At 50.4% G+C, this 18,615-nt stretch overlaps 1 protein-coding gene across 4 annotated transcripts in view, besides 1 other annotated feature; it reads left to right on the top strand.

Moving 5' to 3' along the window:
* NXN (nucleoredoxin) overlaps positions 1-18,615 on the top strand; it is a 180,467-nt gene that overhangs the window by 84,071 nt on the left and 77,781 nt on the right. The gene's annotated exons all lie outside the window — the stretch shown is intronic.
* Positions 7,948-8,447: an enhancer, noted in NCBI's record as "H3K4me1 hESC enhancer chr17:790499-790998 (GRCh37/hg19 assembly coordinates)". NCBI's record gives its function as "activates a minimal SCP1, AML or CMV promoter by ChIP-STARR-seq in primed H9 embryonic stem cells {active_cell/tissue: H9 hESC(primed)}" and the evidence as "EXISTENCE:reporter gene assay evidence [ECO:0000049][PMID:30033119]".

The raw sequence follows: 18,615 nt of genomic DNA, 5'->3' as shown, positions 1-18,615 counted from the left end.
GCTGGGACTACAGGTGCCCACCACCACGCCTGGCTAATTTTTTTTTTTTGTATTTTAAGTAGAGACGGGGTTTCACCGTGTTAGCCAGGATGGTCTTGATCTCCTGACCCTGTGATCCGCCCACCTCGACCTCCCAAAGTGCTGGGATTAGAGGCGTGAGCCACTGCGCCCGGCCACATTGGGTCTTTTTAAACCAGAAAGTATTATTGTAGCAGCTTTAGAAGGTTGCTGAATTCTGTTTCTCCCCATACCCAGCTGTGTCATGGCAGCAGTCCCCATGGTGGTTTATGTTTGATCATCTCTCATTTTCTCTCATTTTTTTGCTTCTTTGGGTACCCTCTTTTCTTCCTCTCTCCATTAGAGAAGATGAACTATGAAGGGAAGGGGTGGGCCAGGCGCGGTGGCTCATGCCTGTCATCCCAGCACTTTGGGAGGCTGGGGCAGGCAGATCACCTGAGGTCAGGAGTTCAAGACTAGCCTGGCCAACATGGTGAAGCCCCGTCTCTACTAAAAATACAAAAATTAGCTGGGCGTGGTGGTGGGTGCCTGTAATCCCAGCTACTCGGGAGGCTGAGGCAGGAGAATCACTTGAACCCAGGAGGCGGAGGTTGCAGTGAGCCGAGATGGTGCCACTGCACTCCAGCCTGGGCGACGGAGTGAGATTTAGTCTCAAAAAAAAAAAAAAAAAAAAAAAAAAAAAAAAAAAAAAAAGGAAAGGGTGAAAGGAAAGGATGAGAGAGAAAGGCAATCAGGGAGAGCCAGGATTTCAGGGAATCATGAAGGCGGCCAGCGGGGACCTGGGTGTGCCCACGTTTCAGCCATGCAAATGCCTGAAGCCAAGTGGATTTAAAGTTGAGGCAGTCACATCTCAATTATGTTTTCAGATGGAAGGGGGTATTTTAGCAGCCAGTTTAGCAAAACTGGGGACCGTCTTCTTGGGGCGCCTCCGTCATGTCTCCGCCCGTCCCTGCGGACACCAGTGGCAGAGCTGCAGAGGCTGCCCCCGGCAGGACCCCCAGGTTCTGGGCATTGAGATGCTTCCTCTGGCTTCCAGGGTGCTGAGATGCTTCCTCTGGCTTCCAGGGCGTTTGAGATGCTTCCTCTGGCTTCCAGGGCGTTTGAGATGCTTCCTCTGGCTTCCAGGGCGTTTGAGATGCTTCCTCTGGCTTCCAGGGCGTTTGAGATGCTTCCTCTGGCTTCCAGGGCGTTTGAGATGCTTCCTCTGGCTTCCAGGGCGTTTGAGATGCTTCCTCTGGCTTCCAGGGCGTTTGAGATGCTTCCTCTGGCTTCCAGGGCGTTTGAGATGCTTCCTCTGGCTTCCAGGGCGTTTGAGATGCTTCCTCTGGCTTCCAGGGCGTTTGAGATGCTTCCTCTGGCTTCCAGGGCGTTTGAGATGCTTCCTCTGGCTTCCAGGGCGTTTGAGATGCTTCCTCTGGCTTCCAGGGCGTTTGAGATGCTTCCTCTGGCTTCCAGGGCGTTTGAGATGCTTCCTCTGGCTTCCAGGGCGTTTGAGATGCTTCCTCTGGCTTCCAGGGCGTTTGAGATGCTTCCTCTGGCTTCCAGGGCGTTTGAGATGCTTCCTCTGGCTTCCAGGGAGTTGAGATGCTTCCTCTGGCTTCCAGGGAGTTGAGATGCTTCCTCTGGCTTCCAGGGAGTTGAGATGCTTCCTCTGGCTTCCAGGGAGTTGAGATGCTTCCTCTGGCTTCCAGGGAGTTGAGATGCTTCCTCTGGCTTCCGGGGGTTGAGATGCTTCCTCTGGCTTCCAGGGAGTTGAGTTGCTTCCTCTGGCTTCCAGGGAGTTGAGATGCTTCCTCTGGCTTCCGGGGGTTGAGATGCTTCCTCTGGCTTCCAGGGAGTTGAGATGCTTCCTCTGGCTTCCAGGGAGTTGAGATGCTTCCTCTGGCTTCCAGGGAGTTGAGATGCTTCCTCTGGCTTCCAGGGAGTTGAGATGCTTCCTCTGGCTTCCAGGGGTTGAGATGCTTCCTCTGGCTTCCAGGGCATTGAGATGCTTCCTCTGGCTTCCAGGGAGTTGAGATGCTTCCTCTGGCTTCCAGGGGTTGAGATGCTTCCTCTGGCTTCCAGGGCATTGAGATGCTTCCTCTGGCTTCCAGGGAGTTGAGATGCTTCCTCTGGCTTCCGGAGGTTGAGATGCTTCCTCTGGCTTCCAGGCGTTGAGATGCTTCCTCTGGCCTTTTTTGAAGGCCAAGGCTTCTTTCCATTTCTTATGTCACGCTACTGAGCGATGGAGATAATTTTTGAAAAAGGGAAATCCAAGGAGGGCATTCTCACCAGAGTGAATATAGCAACCAAGGTGCTGTCTTTTAAGCTGGGACCGGAGGATTAGGCCTCTGTCTCCAGCCTCTGCCTAGGGTTTCCTGAGACTGGGCTCCATGCTTTCTCCCCTAAAAAGATTATCCCCCAGAGGAGTGTCCACAACCCATGCGCACTCAGAAAGCTCACCTTTTCCAGTCTCTGTCCAGGAACGTGGCCTGATACAACTGCACTGATTGACTCGTGGAAGTAACGAGAGCATTGCCCTGCTGGAGACTTGGCCTGCGTAGGCGTGTTCTCCCATCCGCATCTGCCAAGTGGAACAGCTTTGCCCTTTAGGGACATAGGCAAACGTCTGAAGACTTTAAATTTTTAATTGATAGACTTTGTTTCATAGAACAGTTTTAGGTTTTCAGAAAAACTGAGCAGAAAGTACAGAGTTCACAGGTACCCCTCCCTTGCCCTCCAGGTATTCCTGCTGTCATTACCATCTTGCATTGGTGCGCTACATTTGTTACAACTGAGGGGCTGGTATGGGTACATTGTTACTATCTGAAGTTCACAGCTTACCTTAGGGTTTATTGTTTGTGTTGGACACTGTTGGTTCTGACGAATGCATAATGAATGACATGCATCCACCAGGTTGGGATCATACAGAATTGTTTCACTGGTCTCAAAGTCTCCTGGGCTTCTGGAACCATTTTCGATTGTCACTAAGCGGGCATTACTGGCATTTCCTGGGACAGCGATGAACATTCTACAATGTGCGGAACAGCACCCCCCCACACACCCCACCCCGCCCCGCCCCTTCCCAGCAAAGTGTCAGCAGTGCTGAGACTGCGAGACCTGCTATGCAGACACTGACTTGCCAGGTGCGTTTGTGAGTGTTTTGTGGGTGGGGATGAGCTTGTGAGGCTCCAGTGCTGGAAACCTGGTGTTTGGATGAGGGGTGGCCTGGCTGTGCGGGGGCAGAAGAGAGGCACCAGGTGGATTTGGAGAGTCCTGGGAAGAGGGTCAGCTGTAAGTGAGAGGCAGCATTCCAGCCATAATCCCTACACACATTCCTGTAACTGTCACCGTCTTAAATTCAGAACATGAGGTCTGAGTCCAATTAAAATGCCCTAAGTTCTAATTGTTGGGCTGTGCATGGTGGGGTTAGCTTAGTTCCCTGTTGGGTTGTGCATGGTGGGGTTAGCTTAGGTTCCCTGTTGGGCTGTGCATGGTGGGGTTAGCTTAGTTCCCTGTTGGGCTGTACATGGTGGGGTTAGCTTAGTTCCCTGTTGGGTTGTGCATGGTGGGGTTAGCTTAGGTTCCCTGTTGGGTTGTGCATGGTGGGGTTAGTTTAGGTTCCCTGTTGGGTTGTGCATGGTGGGGTTAGTTTAGGTTCCCTGTTGGGTTGTGCATGGTGGGGTTAGTTTAGGTTCCCTGTTGCGTTGTGCATGGTGGGGTTAGCTTAGTTCCTTGTTGGGTTGTGCATGGTGGGGTTAGTTTAGGTTCCCTGTTGGGTTGTGCATGGTGGGGTTAGTTTAGGTTCCCTGTTGGGTTGTACATGGTGGGGTTAGTTTAGGTTCCCTGTTGGGCTGTACATGGTGGGGTTACCTTAGTTCCTTGTTGGGTTGTGCATGGTGGGGTTAGTTTAGGTTCCCTGTTGGGTTCTGCATGGTGGGGTTAGCTTAGGTTCCCTGATGGGCTGTGCATGGTGGGGTTAGCTTAGGTTCCCTGTTGGGCTGTGCATGGTGAGGTTAGCTTAGGTTACTCCCCAACTAAGTACAGTCTCTGATGTATCTGTGATGGAACTAAAAGCACAAGTCTTGGGTTGAGGTCCCCCGTGTTGAAGCATCATAGCCTCTCACTGCCTCAGTTTCCTTTTCTGAAAAGGAAGACAGTTGTCCTAGTCTCATTGTAGACAGAGTATCTTCATGAGCTGATATCCTCAGTGTTCTCTGGTTAGCTTTTGTGATGCCAGGGCTGTATTATGACCTTTTATTAAAGGCAGATATGGATGCTAAATGTGTTTGAATGGGATGGAAAGCCATCAGATGACCTCTTATAAACATGAGAGATTTAGGCCGGGTGCAGTGGCTCACTGCCTGTAATCCTAGCACTTTGGGAGGCCAAGGTGGGAGGATCGCTTGAGCTCAGGAATTCGAGACCAGCCTCAGCAATATGATGAGACCTCATTTCTACAAAAAATTAGCTGGGCATGGTGGCACACAGCTGTGGTCCCAGCCATTCGGGAGGCTGAGGAGGATCGCCTGAGCTCAGGATGTCAAGGCTGCAGTGAGCTGTGATCGTGCCACTGTGTGACAGCCTGGGCAACAGAGTGAGATGGACGGATGGACGGACGGATGGACGGACAGACGGATGGGTGGACAGACGGATAGATAGATAGATAGACAGACAGACAGACAGACCGATAGATAGATTGATTGATTTGTAAGGGAAAAATACAAATGTTCCAAGTCAGCACTTTGCAAATGGAGGGGCCGTATTCGTGAAGCAGGTGGTGTAGCATCAGCCTCACAGACCTCATTGCCCCATAAATCTCATCAAATAGGAGCAAGAATTCTATCCCCCTGATAGGCCTGGGAGGAGAATCCAAAAGCCAAACTCACTCCCTTATGGAATGTAAATATGGATCAAGAGAGATGTTTCTTTTCGTAAATTACTTCCTCCACCCTTATCTGTCAGAAGTCATAAAACCCCAGATGTAACCAGAAAAATCCAGAAAAATATTATTTTGAAAAAACTCTTGGCTAGATGCGGTGGCTCATGCCTGTAATCCCAGCACTTTGGGCGGCCGAGGTGGGCGGATCACGAGGTCAGGAGATCGAGACCATCCTGGCTAACAAGGTGAAAACCCCATCTCTACTAAAAAAAAAAATACAAAAAATTAGCCGGGCGTGCTGGTGGGTGTCTGTAAGTCCTAGCTACTGGGGAGGCTGAGGCAGGAGAATGGCGTGAACCCGGGAGGTGGAGCTTGCAGTGAACCGAGATTGTGTCACTGCACTCCAGCCTGGGCGACAGAGTGAGAGTCCGTCTCAAAAAACAAAAAGAAAAATTTCTTTCTTTGTGGGTGCATCTTTGGGCTGGAGCGGGAAGAGCTTTGCGGAACAAAAGTGTTCCAACTGAGGCATATAAAACAAATTTTATTCAAACTTTAATTATCTCCCACCTGCTGGTGCTTTGTGATGTTCAGAGGGAAAAGGATCATCGAGAACAGCATTTGATGTGCATGAGAGTTGCTGGTTTTTTTCTGTTCTTAGATGGGATTTATTCTTAAGTTTATTTCATAACGAGTAGGTCCAGACACTGAGTTCACGCCGGCATGCTTGATACTGTTTAATTAAGATCCTTTACACATGAGGTGTTGACTTTTGTTGTGTTGAATTCAGTTTCTTCCTAAGTTTGGACCTTGGGTTTTGGGTGTCTTTCTTCATCCTGGTGAGAGGGATGGGGTACTGGGCGTGTGCTCTTTGTGAGTGGGGGTACGTGATCTACGGCAGGTTGGGGGAGCGAAGGGAAAACGTGGCAGTGCTTTGCTTTTCACCAGGCTCCGAAATATCCACAGCCTTAGACTTGAAACCCGAGTGTCATTCCTCATTTTGCATTCTGCAACAGCCAACAATTAATCTGTCTGCATTTCTTTTCTCTCTCTTTTCTTTCTTTCTTTTTCTTTCTTTCTTTCTTTCTTTCTTTCTTTCTTTCTTTCTTTCTTTCTTTCTTTCTTTCTTTTTCTTTCTTTCTTCTTTTCTTTTCTTTCACAGTCTCGCTCTGTTGCTCAGGCTGTAGTGCAATGGAGCAATCTCGGCTCACTGCAACCTCCGCCTCCCGGGTTCAAGCGATTCTCCTAGCTGGGATTACAGGCACACGCCACCACCAGGCTAATTTTTGTATTTTAGTGGAGACAGGGTTTTGCCTTGTTGGCCAGGCTGGTCTTGAACTCCTGACCTCAGGCGATCCACCTGTTTTGGCCTCCCAAAGTGCTGGGATGAAAGGCGTGAGCCACCGCATCCGGCCAATCTCTCTGCATTTCTCATTCATTTCTACCTTCCTGTGGTCTTTTTGCCTCCGATGCAGGATCACTGCGGGTAGCAGGGCTTAGAGCTTTTCAGTATGTTTCGACAACGGTAGCTTCATCACTGAAGCACAGGGCACGTGCAGGTGCTGGGCTTTCTGCTCTGTCTTCTCACTTAATCCTCCTGAGAAGGCAAGTGTGGCACGTGCAGGCGCTGGGCTTTCTGCTCTGTCTTCCCACTTAATCCTCCTGAGAAGGTAAGTGCCACATAGCTGGCAGGTGGTGGAGATGAGATTTGAACCTGTTTCCTGACCACAATCCATCGGTTAACCACAAACATTAGTGTCTTTCTCTTTGTGCTGTAAGGCTTAGAACCCCCAGCGTTCTGGTTCTTGTTTCTTCTGAGTCAGATGTTTCAAGTGGCTCCGTCAATCTTTTTTTTTTTTTTTTTTTTGAGATGGAGTTTTGTTTTGCACTTGTCGCCCCCAGGCTGGAGTGCAGTGGTGCGATCTCAGCTCACAGCAACCTCCACCTCCTGGGTTCAAGTGATTCTCCTGCCTCAGCCTCCTGGGTAGCTGGGATTACAGGTGCCCACCACCATGTCCAGCTAATTTTTGTATTTTTAGTAGAGACGGGGTTTCTCCATGTTGGTCAGGCTGGTCTCGAACTCCTGACCTCAGGTGATCCACCTGCCCTGGCCTCCCAAAGTGCTGGGATTACAGGTGCGAGCCACCACACCTGGCCTCTGTCAATCTTTATGTAAGTTCTGATGCATCTAGAATGTCCTCTCTCATCCCAGCTGTATTTATTTTTTATTTTTTGCTATGATTGATAATAGCAATTGTCTGAAGACCTAAGAGCACCCTCGTTTTCTTGAAGTCAAAAAACCTTGCTGAGACCAGGTGTGATGGCTCATGCCTGTCATCCCAGGACTTTGGGGGGCCAAGGTGGCCAGATCCTTTAAGCCCAGGATTTCTTTGCCAGACTGGGCAACACAGCGAGACCCCATCTCTACAGAATGATTTTAAAAATTAGCCAGGAGTGGTGATGCATGCCTGTGGTCCCTGCTACTCAGGAGGCTGAGGTGGGAGGATCGCTTGAGCCCAGGAGGTCGAGGTTGCAGTGAGCTGTGCTTGCACCCCTGCACTCCAGCCTGAGGAACAGAGCGAGGCCCTGTCTCAAAGAAGTAAAGATTATAAATTAAAACTAATCTTGTGGAACTTAGTCCTGCTGTAAGATACAGATTTTCCTTTTTATTGCATGAGAAGTCCCTTAAACCCTGCTTTCTGTCCCTCTCTGTACCCCGTACGGTACCTGCGCCCCATCCGTGTCGTATGAACCCAAGTTGAGGAGACAGGAACACTCCTGAGCATGTGCTGTACCTGGCACGCTTCTCAACCGTGACCCGTGTGGCAGTTACAGACCTCTCTGTTTTACACGAGGGAGCTGAGGCTTGGAGAGGTCTGGTGGACTTGCTTTGAACCTCACGGCTAGTGGGTTGTCATAGATCCAAGGGTTTAAACTCAGGCCTCCGTGACGCTGAAGCCCACGTCCTTGCCTCTCTGTTCTTCTTTTCCATCGAATGGGAATTGGGTCAAATGGAATTCTGCCTTTTTCTTAGGAAAAAGGAGGTGGAAAAGGCATGTAGAAACACGTAGAAAGCCTTTCTCTTTTTTCCCCCTCAAGCCATAGGGGCCAGCTCTGTGACGGTGGTTCACTGACATGGAGCGAATGGAAAAATGGGGTCATGTCTCCGCCAGAAGCCTGCATTCCCGTTTAATTGGCGAGCACACACTTTCTTTGTATTTGTTTACCTTATGGCTGGTTCTGACAAATAAAATGGATTCTTTTCTCGGCCTCTTCACTTGGGAGGAGTAAGCTGTGGGGTATTAGTGGAGGGAGTGAAGGCCTGAAAATGCCCGGGATTTGGAAAATCTCCGAGAATGTGGTGCAGAAGAAGGTATTCTTGACTTTGGTGACGAGCATATGAACGGCAGCTTCCCAAGTTGGTGACAAGAGCTCATGAACGGCAGCTTCCCCAGTCACCCTCACTGAATCGGACGCTGCCTTGTGACTGTACGTTGTCCACACCTCCCCCTGCACCTCCGCCAAACCTTCGTCGCTGTGGCCACTTGCCTGGGAGAGGACTGGCCGGTCAGCTAGCATGGATTTATGGAGCTCCCACCAGATAAAAGACTGAGGCCAGGCGCGGTGGCTCACGCCTGTAATCCCAGCACTTTGGAAGGTTGAGGCGGGTGAATTGCTTGAGGCCAGGAGTTCGAGACCAGCCTGGGCAACATGGTGAGACCCCCATCTCTACAGAAAAAAAAAAATACAAAAATTAGCCAAGTGTGGTGGTTCACGCCTTGTAGTCCCAGCTACTTGGGAGGCAGAGGTGGCAGGATTGCTTGAGCCCAGGAGGTTAAGGCCGTAGCCATGATCACTCCACTGCACTCCAGCCTGGATCTGAAAAAAAATAAATAAATAACAAAATAAAAGTTTGTTTTATCCAGACTGTCAGGCAAAAATGTTAGGATAAACAATAGAATGAGATCAAAGCCTTCCTCTTTTTGCTTTAGGTTGGAATTCAAACCATCCAGTGTAGTAAGAGGTATTATTTCTATTTTTTTTTTTTTTTTGAGACAGAGTCTCACTCTGTCGCCCAGGTTGGAGTGCAGTGGCACGATCTCAGCTCACTGCAAGCTCCACCTCCCGAGTTGAAGTGATTCTCCTGCCTCAGTCTCCTGAGTAGCTGGGACTACAGCTGTGTGCCACCACGCCCGGCTAATTTTTTGTATTTTTAGTAGAGATGGGGTTTCACCACATTGGCCAGGCTGATCTCGAACTCCTGACCTCAGGTGATCCACCCACATTGGCCTTCCAAAGTGCTGGGATTCCTGGCGTGAGCCACCGCGCCGGCCAACGGTGTTGGTTCCCGTGGAGCGAAGCCTCTCCGTGCGCTGCCAGCCTCCCAGGGAAGAATCATGAGCAAGTGGCAGGTGTCCAGCAGAATCTATCTTACGTCTCTTGGAATAAATATTCCCTCTGGCTCGGTAAGAGCAAAACCCTTTAGTCCAGCTTGGATGTTAGAGAACCTTCTGCTTGCTTAATTTATTGATTTTTTAAAGCCAAAGCAATGTCAGCAGAGCCAAGAATAATGTTGGAGAGATTCTAAGAACATGGCCTTGCGTAGTTTTCCTGACTGAAATCCACTCTGCCTAACACTGGGGACCTGGGAGCTGCTTCCGTGGAGAAACCCGGACCCGTGGTCAGAATGGGGTGGCTCCTGACACAGAGCCTTCAATTTCTGATGGGCTCCACCTGGCCCCAGCCTCTTTGTGCCTTTTGTGTGGTTCCATGCCAGGGTTTTGAGCTGCGTTTGGAGCCTTTGGTTAGAATTTTCTAAGGAGCATTAAAAGTGAGTACCACAGCTGGGCGCGGTGGCTCACGCCTATAATCCCAGCACTTTGGGAGGCCGAGGCGGGCGGATCACGAGGTCAGGAGATCGAGACCATCCTGGCTGACACGGTGAAACCCCGTCTCTACTAAAAAAATACAAAAAAAAAAAATTAGCCGGGCGTGGTGGCGGGCGCCTGTAGTCCCAGCTACTCGGGAGGCTGAGACAGGAGAATGGCGTGAACCCGGGAGGCAGAGCTTGCAGTGAGCTGAGATTGCGCCACTGCACTCCAGCCTGGGGGACAGAGCGACTCTGTCTCAAAAAAAAAAAAAAAAAAAAAAAAAAAAGCGAGTACCGCAGCCCCCAGGTGGGCATGGCGCCTCTCTTCAGAGAGGGGCATGTGTGCGCAAAGAAAAGGAAGCCATTTACTTCCAGAGATGATTCCTGGCTAAGAAACGATTATGAGAAATGAAAGACTAGACATAGGAGACGGACTATGAAATCCTGAACTCTTTTTTTTTTCCTTTTCTTTTCTTTTTTTTGAGATTGAGTCTCGCTCTTGTTGCCCAGGCTGGAGTGTAGTGGTGCGATCTCCGCTCACTGCAACCTCCACCTCCCGGGTTCAAGTGATTCTCCTGCCTCAGCCTCCCAAGTAGCTGGGATGACGGGCGCCTGCACCACGCCCAGCTAATTTTTGTATTTTTAGTAGAGACGAGGTGTCACCATGTTGGCCAGACTGGTCTCTTGGCCAGGCTGGTCTCAACCTCTGACCTCGTGATCCGCCCGTCTCGGCCTCCCAAAATGCTGGGATTACAGGCGTGAGCCACTGCGACCGGCCGCATATGTTGAGTCTTATTAGTCTCTGTCCTAAACTTGACTGATCATGATGGGACATGTCAGCCTGAATGAGACCCTTTCCTGGACCTCTCTTTCATACTGTATCATCCCACCCAGGAGGCCTGACTCAGCTCCGCTTGGTCTTAGATGTCCCTCTTACCCCTAAAGGGGATGGCGCTCGCCATAGGATGCCCCAGGCCAGATTCTTCTTTCATTTACACCTTGGTCATTCTCCTGTGTCCTCCGCTGAGTGTTTGTTTTGGGGGAAAGCCCACACTTTCTTTAGCTCCCAAGATTCTGGATTGGTGATTGGAATACAGATGTTTCAAAACTGTTCACATTCTAGAAACATGTTTTATCGGGACATCCAGAGCTGTTGAGACACTTGGGATCCGTCTTCAGCTCCGTTTAGCTTATTAATTCCCGAGGGACCGTCCATCCCTTTTCTAGTATCTGAACGTTTGGATTCAAGACTCCACTTCCCTGCTAGGTGGCTGGAGAAGCAAACCAGGGTCCAGAAGGTGTTCTAGAAAGTCGGGTGGATGGGGAGAGAATGGAGGAGGAGGATCCGTCCCAGCCTGTCCCCAGCCCAACGGCCCTTTTCCTGTGGCCATCAAATCTTTGTGTCCAGAGTGTTGTCCTTCCCCTGGACAGTGCCGGACACACTTCCCTGACTCGCTTTGGCGAGTTTTCTCTGCTTCTTTTTGACCATGCCCTGCAGTCATCATCCACAGTTCCCCGAATCTCTCTGTTTTTTTTACATGATTATTATTTTTTAGAGACAGGGTCTCGCCCTGTCACCCAGGCTGGAGTGCAGTGGTGCAGTCATAGCTCACTGTCACCTCAAACTTCTGGGTTCAAGGGATCCTCCCACCTCAGCCCCCCAAGTAGCTAGGACTCTAGGTGCACGCCACTACACACAGCTTCGTTTTATTATTTATTTATTTATTTATTTATTTTTTGAGTCAGAGTCTTGCTCAGTCCCCCAGGCTGGAGTGCAGTGGTGCAATCTCAGCTCACTGCAAGCTCCGCCTCCCAGGTTCATGCCATTCTCCTGCCTCAGCCTCTCAAGTAGCTGGGACCACAGGCGCCCACCACCACGCCCGGCTAACTTTTTGTATTTTTTTTAGTAGAGACAGGGTTTCACCATGTTAGCCAGGATGGTCTCGATCTCCTGACCTCGTGATCCGCCCGTCTTGGCCTCCCAAAGTGCTGGGATGACAGGCGTGAGCCACCGCGCCCGGCCCAGCAATGTTTTATTGTTATCTTTTAGTAGAGATGGGGGCTGCATATGTTGCTCAGGCTGGCCTTAAACTCCTGACCTCAGGTCATCCGCCTGCCTGGGCCTCCCACGCTGATTGGGATTACAGGCGTAAGCACCGCACCTGGGCCTGCAACTCTGTCTTTAGATCTTGCGGCTTTGCTGCCTCCCACTTCTGTACAAAATGTGGCACCATGACCCCTGAAGTCCTGCCCCGTGGCTTCTGTATATGATGGGACCGTGACCACTGAAGTCCTTGCCCTGTGAGCCTTCCTCAGTGCTTTTCTTTCTGGGCATTTCTGCCCTTCCAGCATCGACCTGGCTTCATGGAGAGGAGACCAGAGGGTCCCCTCCAGAGTCATCTCTCTTGGGAGGAGCTTTGGCTTCTTAGCCTGGCATGTTTTTGGCCAGCTTCTTTCTTTCCTTAGCCTGAGGTCATGGAGGTGATGTAGGCGGGGTTTGGAGCTGTGGATGGAAATTTGAGGCCTGTGCTGGTTCAACTCCAAGAACAAAGACTACTTTGACAACAGCCAGTGAGCAGCTTCTGCTGGGAGTTCTGGGCGGGGGGCAGGGGTGGGAGGAAGAGAGGCCTCTGTGAACAGGGTGTTTCCATGTCTCAGAAACAGATTCAGTAAGAGACAGTCAGCATCGTCTTCCCCCAGCCTTTCCCTTACTGGCCTGATTGACACCGTCGCTGTCTGAGTTGTGGAGAGAGAAGGAATGGGCAGGAGAGATAGGAAACAAGGCCCTGGTGTGTGTTTTTTTCTTTCCATTTAAAAATAGGAAGTTGGCCAGGTGTAGCCTTCCCCAAGTAGCTAGGACTCGAGGTGCACGCCACTACACACAGCCAAGTTTTATTTTTATCTTTTAGTGGAGACGGGGGCTCACGCCTGTAATCCCAATGCTTTAGGAGGCCAAGATGAACAGATCACCTGAGGTCAGGAGTTCCAGACCAGCCTGGCCAACATGGTGAAACCCTGTGTCTACTAAAATTAGCTGGGCGTGGTGGCGGGCGCCTGTAATTCCAGCTACTAGGGAAGCTGAGGCAAGAGAATCGCTTGAACCCGGGAGACAGAGGTTGCAGCAAGCCAAGATCGCGCCACTGCACTCCAGCCTGGGCGACAGAGCAAGACAACGTCTCAAAAACAAAACAAAGAGGCCGGGTGCGGTGGCTAACGCCTATAATCCCAGCACTTTGGGAGGCCAAGGCAGGCAGATCACGAGGTCAGGAGATCGAGACCATCCTGGCTAACACGGTGAAACCCTGTCTCTACTAAAAATACAAAAAATTAGCCGGGCATGGTGGTGGGCGCCTGAAGTCCCAGTTACATGGGAGGCTGAGGCAGGAGAATGGCGTGAACCCGGGAGGCGGAGCTTGCAGTGAGCCGAGATTGCGCCACTGCACTCCAGCCTGGGTGACAGAGCGAGACTCCATCTCAAAACAAAACAAAACAAAACAAACAAAAGAAACCCCTGCAATTGAGGCAGTTGGGGCAGAGACGGGGGAGGGCTCCGCCTCATTCAGGAGCTGTCTAGGAAGTGACTGAGCAGAAATGAGGAAGAGAGAAGCATGGGGAAGGACTGCCAGGTTTCTGGTTTGGGGACACTGGGTGGAGGGTAGTTGGTTCCATTCATGGAGACAGGGAACCATGGCAGGGAAAGGCAGGGAGGGAGGGAGGGGAGGTGGTCACTTGTGGGAAGGTGGCCGTGCTCAGGAGGCAGCACCCTGTGCCCACGCTGGAATTCTCAGTTACCTGGCTCTAGATGAGATGAAGACAAATTATTTTTTTCTCCTTCTTGTTGGTATGAGTTCTTTTTTTAGGTTTAATTTAACACAATAAAATTCATGGTTCTTAAGGACCCAGCTCAGTGTGTTTGAACAGCTGTTATACCGATATGAACAATTATCCAAACAAGACCAAGAACATTTCCATCTCCCTGCACAGTCCCCTGCTGAGCCTCTCTGGTGACTCCCCCTCCCATCCGTCGCTTTGGTTTTCTGTCACTGTAATTTAGTTTTGCCTGTAGACCGTCATGGAAATGGAATCGTACAGTCAGTGTTATTTTGTGTCGGGCTTCATTTGCTCAGCATGATTGTGAGGTTTATCCTTGTTTTTGTATACATCAGTTTGTTCCTTCTTATTGCTGAGAAGTGTCCCATTGGACGAGCATCTTGTCACAGTGTATCCATTCTTCCAATGATGGATGTATGTGAGTTGTTGTCAGTTTGGGGTGGGGAAGGCTGTTATAAACATTTTTATGGACTTAAAAAAATTATCTTGGGTAAATACTGATGAGTAGGAATCCTGAGCGGTAGAATTCTGAGTCGATTATCAGGTAAATGAACATTTACCTTCATAAGATGGACCAAACGGTTCTTCAAAGTGGTTGTACTGACCAGGCATGGCGGCTCACGCCTGTAATCCCAGCACTTTGGGAGGCCAAGGCAGGCAGATTTCTTGAGCCCGGGAGTTTGAGACTAGCCTGAGCAACATGGCGAAACCCCGTCTCAATGGAAAATTTTCGAGTGTGGTGGTACGCGTTTCTAATCCCAGCTACCCGGGAAGCTGGAGGATCACTTGAGTCTGGGGTGCTGCGGCGAGCTGAGATCGCACCACTGCACTCCAGCCTGGGTAACAGTGAGATCCTGTCTCAAACAACAACAAAGTGTTTGCACCATTTATGTCCCCGGCAGCGGAGTGTGAGACTCGCACTTGCTCCACGTCCTCACCCGGGTTTGATACTGTGGGTGTGTTTTACTTTTGCTATTCTAGTCAGTGTGAAATCATTTTAATTTGCATTTCCTTGATGACACCTTTGCATATTCTTACTGGCTGTCCACCTATCTACTTTCTGGACGTGTCTGTTCATATCTGCTTGTTGAGAGTGTGCACTCCCAGAGCCTGGGCCACGGCTCAGCTACCTGCCGTAGATGGGGCAGGAGGGAAGGAGACGTTTGCAGAGATTTGAACCACAGGAACCAGTCAGCCCCTTGGAGCCCTGGCCCAGGCTGTGGGATTTTCGGAGGAGGCCTTCCATTTTCATCTGTCCTGTTATCAAACCAACTGCATTACTTAGTGTCTGCTTGGAAGTATCTGTCCTTCGCAGTCAGCTTACTCTTTTGGCCAAAAGGAAGCTCTGCTCCTAGATATGGATAAGGAATTTGACAGATCTCCAGCCCTGCCCCCTTAGGAGAAGGCCAGCCCCTCTGCTTCTTCCCCTGTGAGTGGACGTCCTTGGATGCATTAGCTCAGGCGAACTTGGAAGATTCTGTGGGTTTTGTGTGGCCTATTTTGAGTCTCATTGTTTGGCTTTAATCAGAAAAATAAACACTTATTTTTAATTTTCTCCCTGGCCTGGCTGAGCTAGGTTCAAACGATCTTTTTTAACTTGACCACATGTGAATGACCGGAAATGATGTCCTGTTGGGGAAATGGGTCATTTCCAAGATTTTCTCTCCAGGAAAAGTGTAACTTATTAGTTTCCTAAGAAAGGCTCTAACAGGCCACAAAGAAGTTCTTATTAAGACGTTTTCTCCTTTTATGTGGTCCTAATCACAGCCTTATCACAAACCCCAGCCCTGGTTGTTAATCCAAGGTATTTAGTTCTTGTATTTTATATACAAGGAAATAAAGAGACGCCTCCCTCACTCCTCCGCCCCCGGAAATAAAGAGACGCCTCCCTCATTCCTCCGTCCCCAGGAATGATTCGCCCAAGGGTGGGTGTTGTCTCCGGGGACCAGGATCAGGAATTACGCCCTGAATAAGGATAAAGACCTTTTTTCCCTTCACTGAAACAATCATTTTAAAAAATTTGCTGTGATCTCACTTTTTTATTTTAAATTCCTTTAATGAAACCTCACCCTCAAACTTGATACATCAGAAGATTTGCTTGGACTAAAAGTGGAATTTCCATCTTAACCACATGGCTCCGAGGTTCTGCTCTCAGGATGAATTGGGCTCCATGTCATTTTGTTTGTCACTTTCTTCTCGGACCAGCGCAGTGGCTTCACCACAGTGGGCACTGTGGTTGGATTCCGTACCTGTGAGAGAAGTTTCTAGAATCCTTTGGCTTGAAATACACATACTTGGCCACATTCTTTCTTCTGAACCGTCTTCTGTTGCCGCCCCCTGCCGGAGGCTAGAAAGAGACACCTGCAGAAAAGCTCCTCCCACCAGCTCTCCTCCCAAGATGCAGAAAGGTGACGCCCGCCAAACCCCAGCGGGTTCCCAAGAGGCCTTTGTGTTGGACGCCTCCTGCTTCTCAGTCAATGAGTCGTGTCCTTTCCCTGCTTGCCAGAAACCTTTAGCTCCACGGGTTTAAAACCAGACTCGTGGCCGGGCGCGGTGGCTCATGCCTGTAGTCCCAGCACTTTGGGAGGCCGAGGCGGGTGGATCATTTGAGGTCAGGAGTTCAAGACCAGCCTGGCCAACTTGGTGAGACCCCGTCTCTACTAAAAATTCAAAAATTAGCCTGGCATGGTGGGCGCCTGTAATCTGAGCTACTTGGGAGGCTGAGGCGGGAGAATCGCTTGAACCTGGGAGACGGAGGCTATAGTGAGCTGAGATCGTGCCACTGCACTCCAGACTGGGTGACAGAGTGAGACTCTGTCTCAAAAAAAAAAAACAAAAAACCAAAAACCAAAAACCAAACCAAAACAAAAAAAACCCAGATTCCTTTCCCTGCTCTTCACTAGTTTTTCTTCCGCTTTGTTCTCTCCTTCTCCTTCCCTCTCTGTCTACTTGTTGTTTTTTTTGAGACAGAGTTTCTCTCTTGTTGCCCAGGCTGGAGTGCAATGGCGCGATCTTGGCTCACTAAAACCTCTGCCTCCCGGGTTCAAGTGATTCTCCTGCCTCAGCCTCCCGAGTAGCTGGGATTAGAGGCGCCTGCCACCACACCTGGCTAGTTTTTGTATTTTTAGTAGAGAGAGGGTTTCGCCATGTTGGTCAGGCTGGTCTTGAACTCCTGACCTCAGGTGATCCACCCACCTCAGCCTCCCAAAGTGCTGGGATTACAGGCGTGAGCCACCGCACCTGGCCTGTCTACGCATTCTTTCATTAATTTGTTCTTTAAACACATATTAGAGCTTTTAACTGGCTCTGCGTGTTTTTTTAGGCTCTGGTTATGAATAGGGTCTCACTGACGCATCTACCCAAGCTACAGGCCTTGACATTCTCATTTCCCCCCATTCACTGGGTTCAATCAGGTTGGGGCACTATTGTTTCACTAGTCCCTTAATGAGTCCACCAACTTCCAGTCTCACCCTGTCTACACAGCTCCCAGAACAACCTGGCTACAGTACCAGTTGTTCACGTCACTGCCCTATGGGCCAGCCCTCATTACGGGTGGATCCAACCCAAACTCCCTGGCGTGGACTTCAAGGGCACCCCCTCCCCTGCCCCCAAACCCCACCTTCAAGGGCACCCCCTCCCCTGCCCCCACACCCCACCTTCAAGGTCCCCCCACCCCCGCCCGCAAACCCCTCCTTCAAGGGCACCCCCTCCCCCACCCCCAAACCCCACCTTCAAGGGCAACCCCTGCCCCGCCCCGAAACCGCACCTGGCCTTCTAGCATCCTCACCTTTGCACACTCTGCTCAGCCACACTGGTCGACCCCCAGGGTCCCCAGACACATCGCCCATTGCCGTACCTTGGAACCTTTGAGCATGATGGCCCCTGCTCCTGGGATTCCCTCCGCTTCTTCTCTCTCCGATGAGGTTGTGTACTAATGTCAGCTGTACACGTTGTCTTTTCAGCATGTTACCTCCTCTCAGAAGCCTGCCCCCACGCTGTGCAATGGTCGCTGTGCAGATCTCTGTTACGGCGTCATTGCCTGCATTCTACTTAGCTCTCGTCTGTCTCCCCTCCAGACTGTGCCCCCAGGGCTTCCAGGTCTAGCCTCATTTCTAATAGTTTGTTGCCACGATGTCACGAATTAGAGCCCTGTCTGTTAGCCCACAGGGCTCCAGCCTCACCCTCTCCCACAGCTCCCGTGGCCCTCCTAGCAGCCTTCAGAGCTTCATGGTTCACAGTCTGGAAAAACGTGTGCTGAGCTCTGCCTGCCTCTTGCTGTTTCTTGGATGCCTCGCCCTATCCCACTCCTGGCCTGCCTGGTGAAAACCGGTTCATTCTTCACAGAGCAGCTCAGACGCTACGGCCTTTCCTCTTCAGTCGCTCTAACTCACAAGGTTAGATGGTAAAAATAACGAGTATTTTGTAAAGCACTGAGCGTGTGCCCCAGACATTGTTCTAAGCATCTTCCCCGATTTCCTCTATGTGCCAGTAGTATCGCGCTTTTCCTGTATCCTAATAGTTTATGTACGCGTCCGTCTTCCGTATGGGGCTGGGCCTTCCATAAAGGAAAGAAAGGCTCGTGTATCAATTATCTTTCTGTTCCCAGCCTTTAGCACAGGGCTTCACACGTAGAAGGAATCCAGTAGTGGCTGGTAAATGCAGCTGTTTGAAAAACACAGTCGCGGCCGGGCGCGGTGGCTCACGCCTGTAATTCCAGCACTTTGGGAGGCTGAGGCAGGTGGATCACGAGGTCAGGAGATCGAGACCATCCTGGCCAACATGGTGAAACCCCGCCTGTACTAAAAATACAAAAAATTAGCCGGGCTTGGTGGCGGGCGCCAGTAGTCTCAGCTACCAGGAGGCTGAGGCAGGAGAATGGCATCAACCTGGGAGGCGGAGCTTGCAGTGAGCCGAGATCATGCCACTGCACTCCAGCCTGGGCGACAGAGTGAGACTCCGTCTCCAAAAAAAAACAACACCGTCGCTGTTCCCATAGTTGTTTAGTACGTTTGTTTAATATATTAAGAATTAGTTTTTT

This window comes from Homo sapiens, chromosome 17, assembly GCF_000001405.40.
Source record: "Homo sapiens chromosome 17, GRCh38.p14 Primary Assembly".
In the NCBI taxonomy this organism is placed as follows: Eukaryota; Metazoa; Chordata; class Mammalia; order Primates; family Hominidae; genus Homo; species Homo sapiens.
Note: the sequence above shows the minus strand (reverse complement) of the source record. Positions and strands in the feature narration are given on the sequence as shown.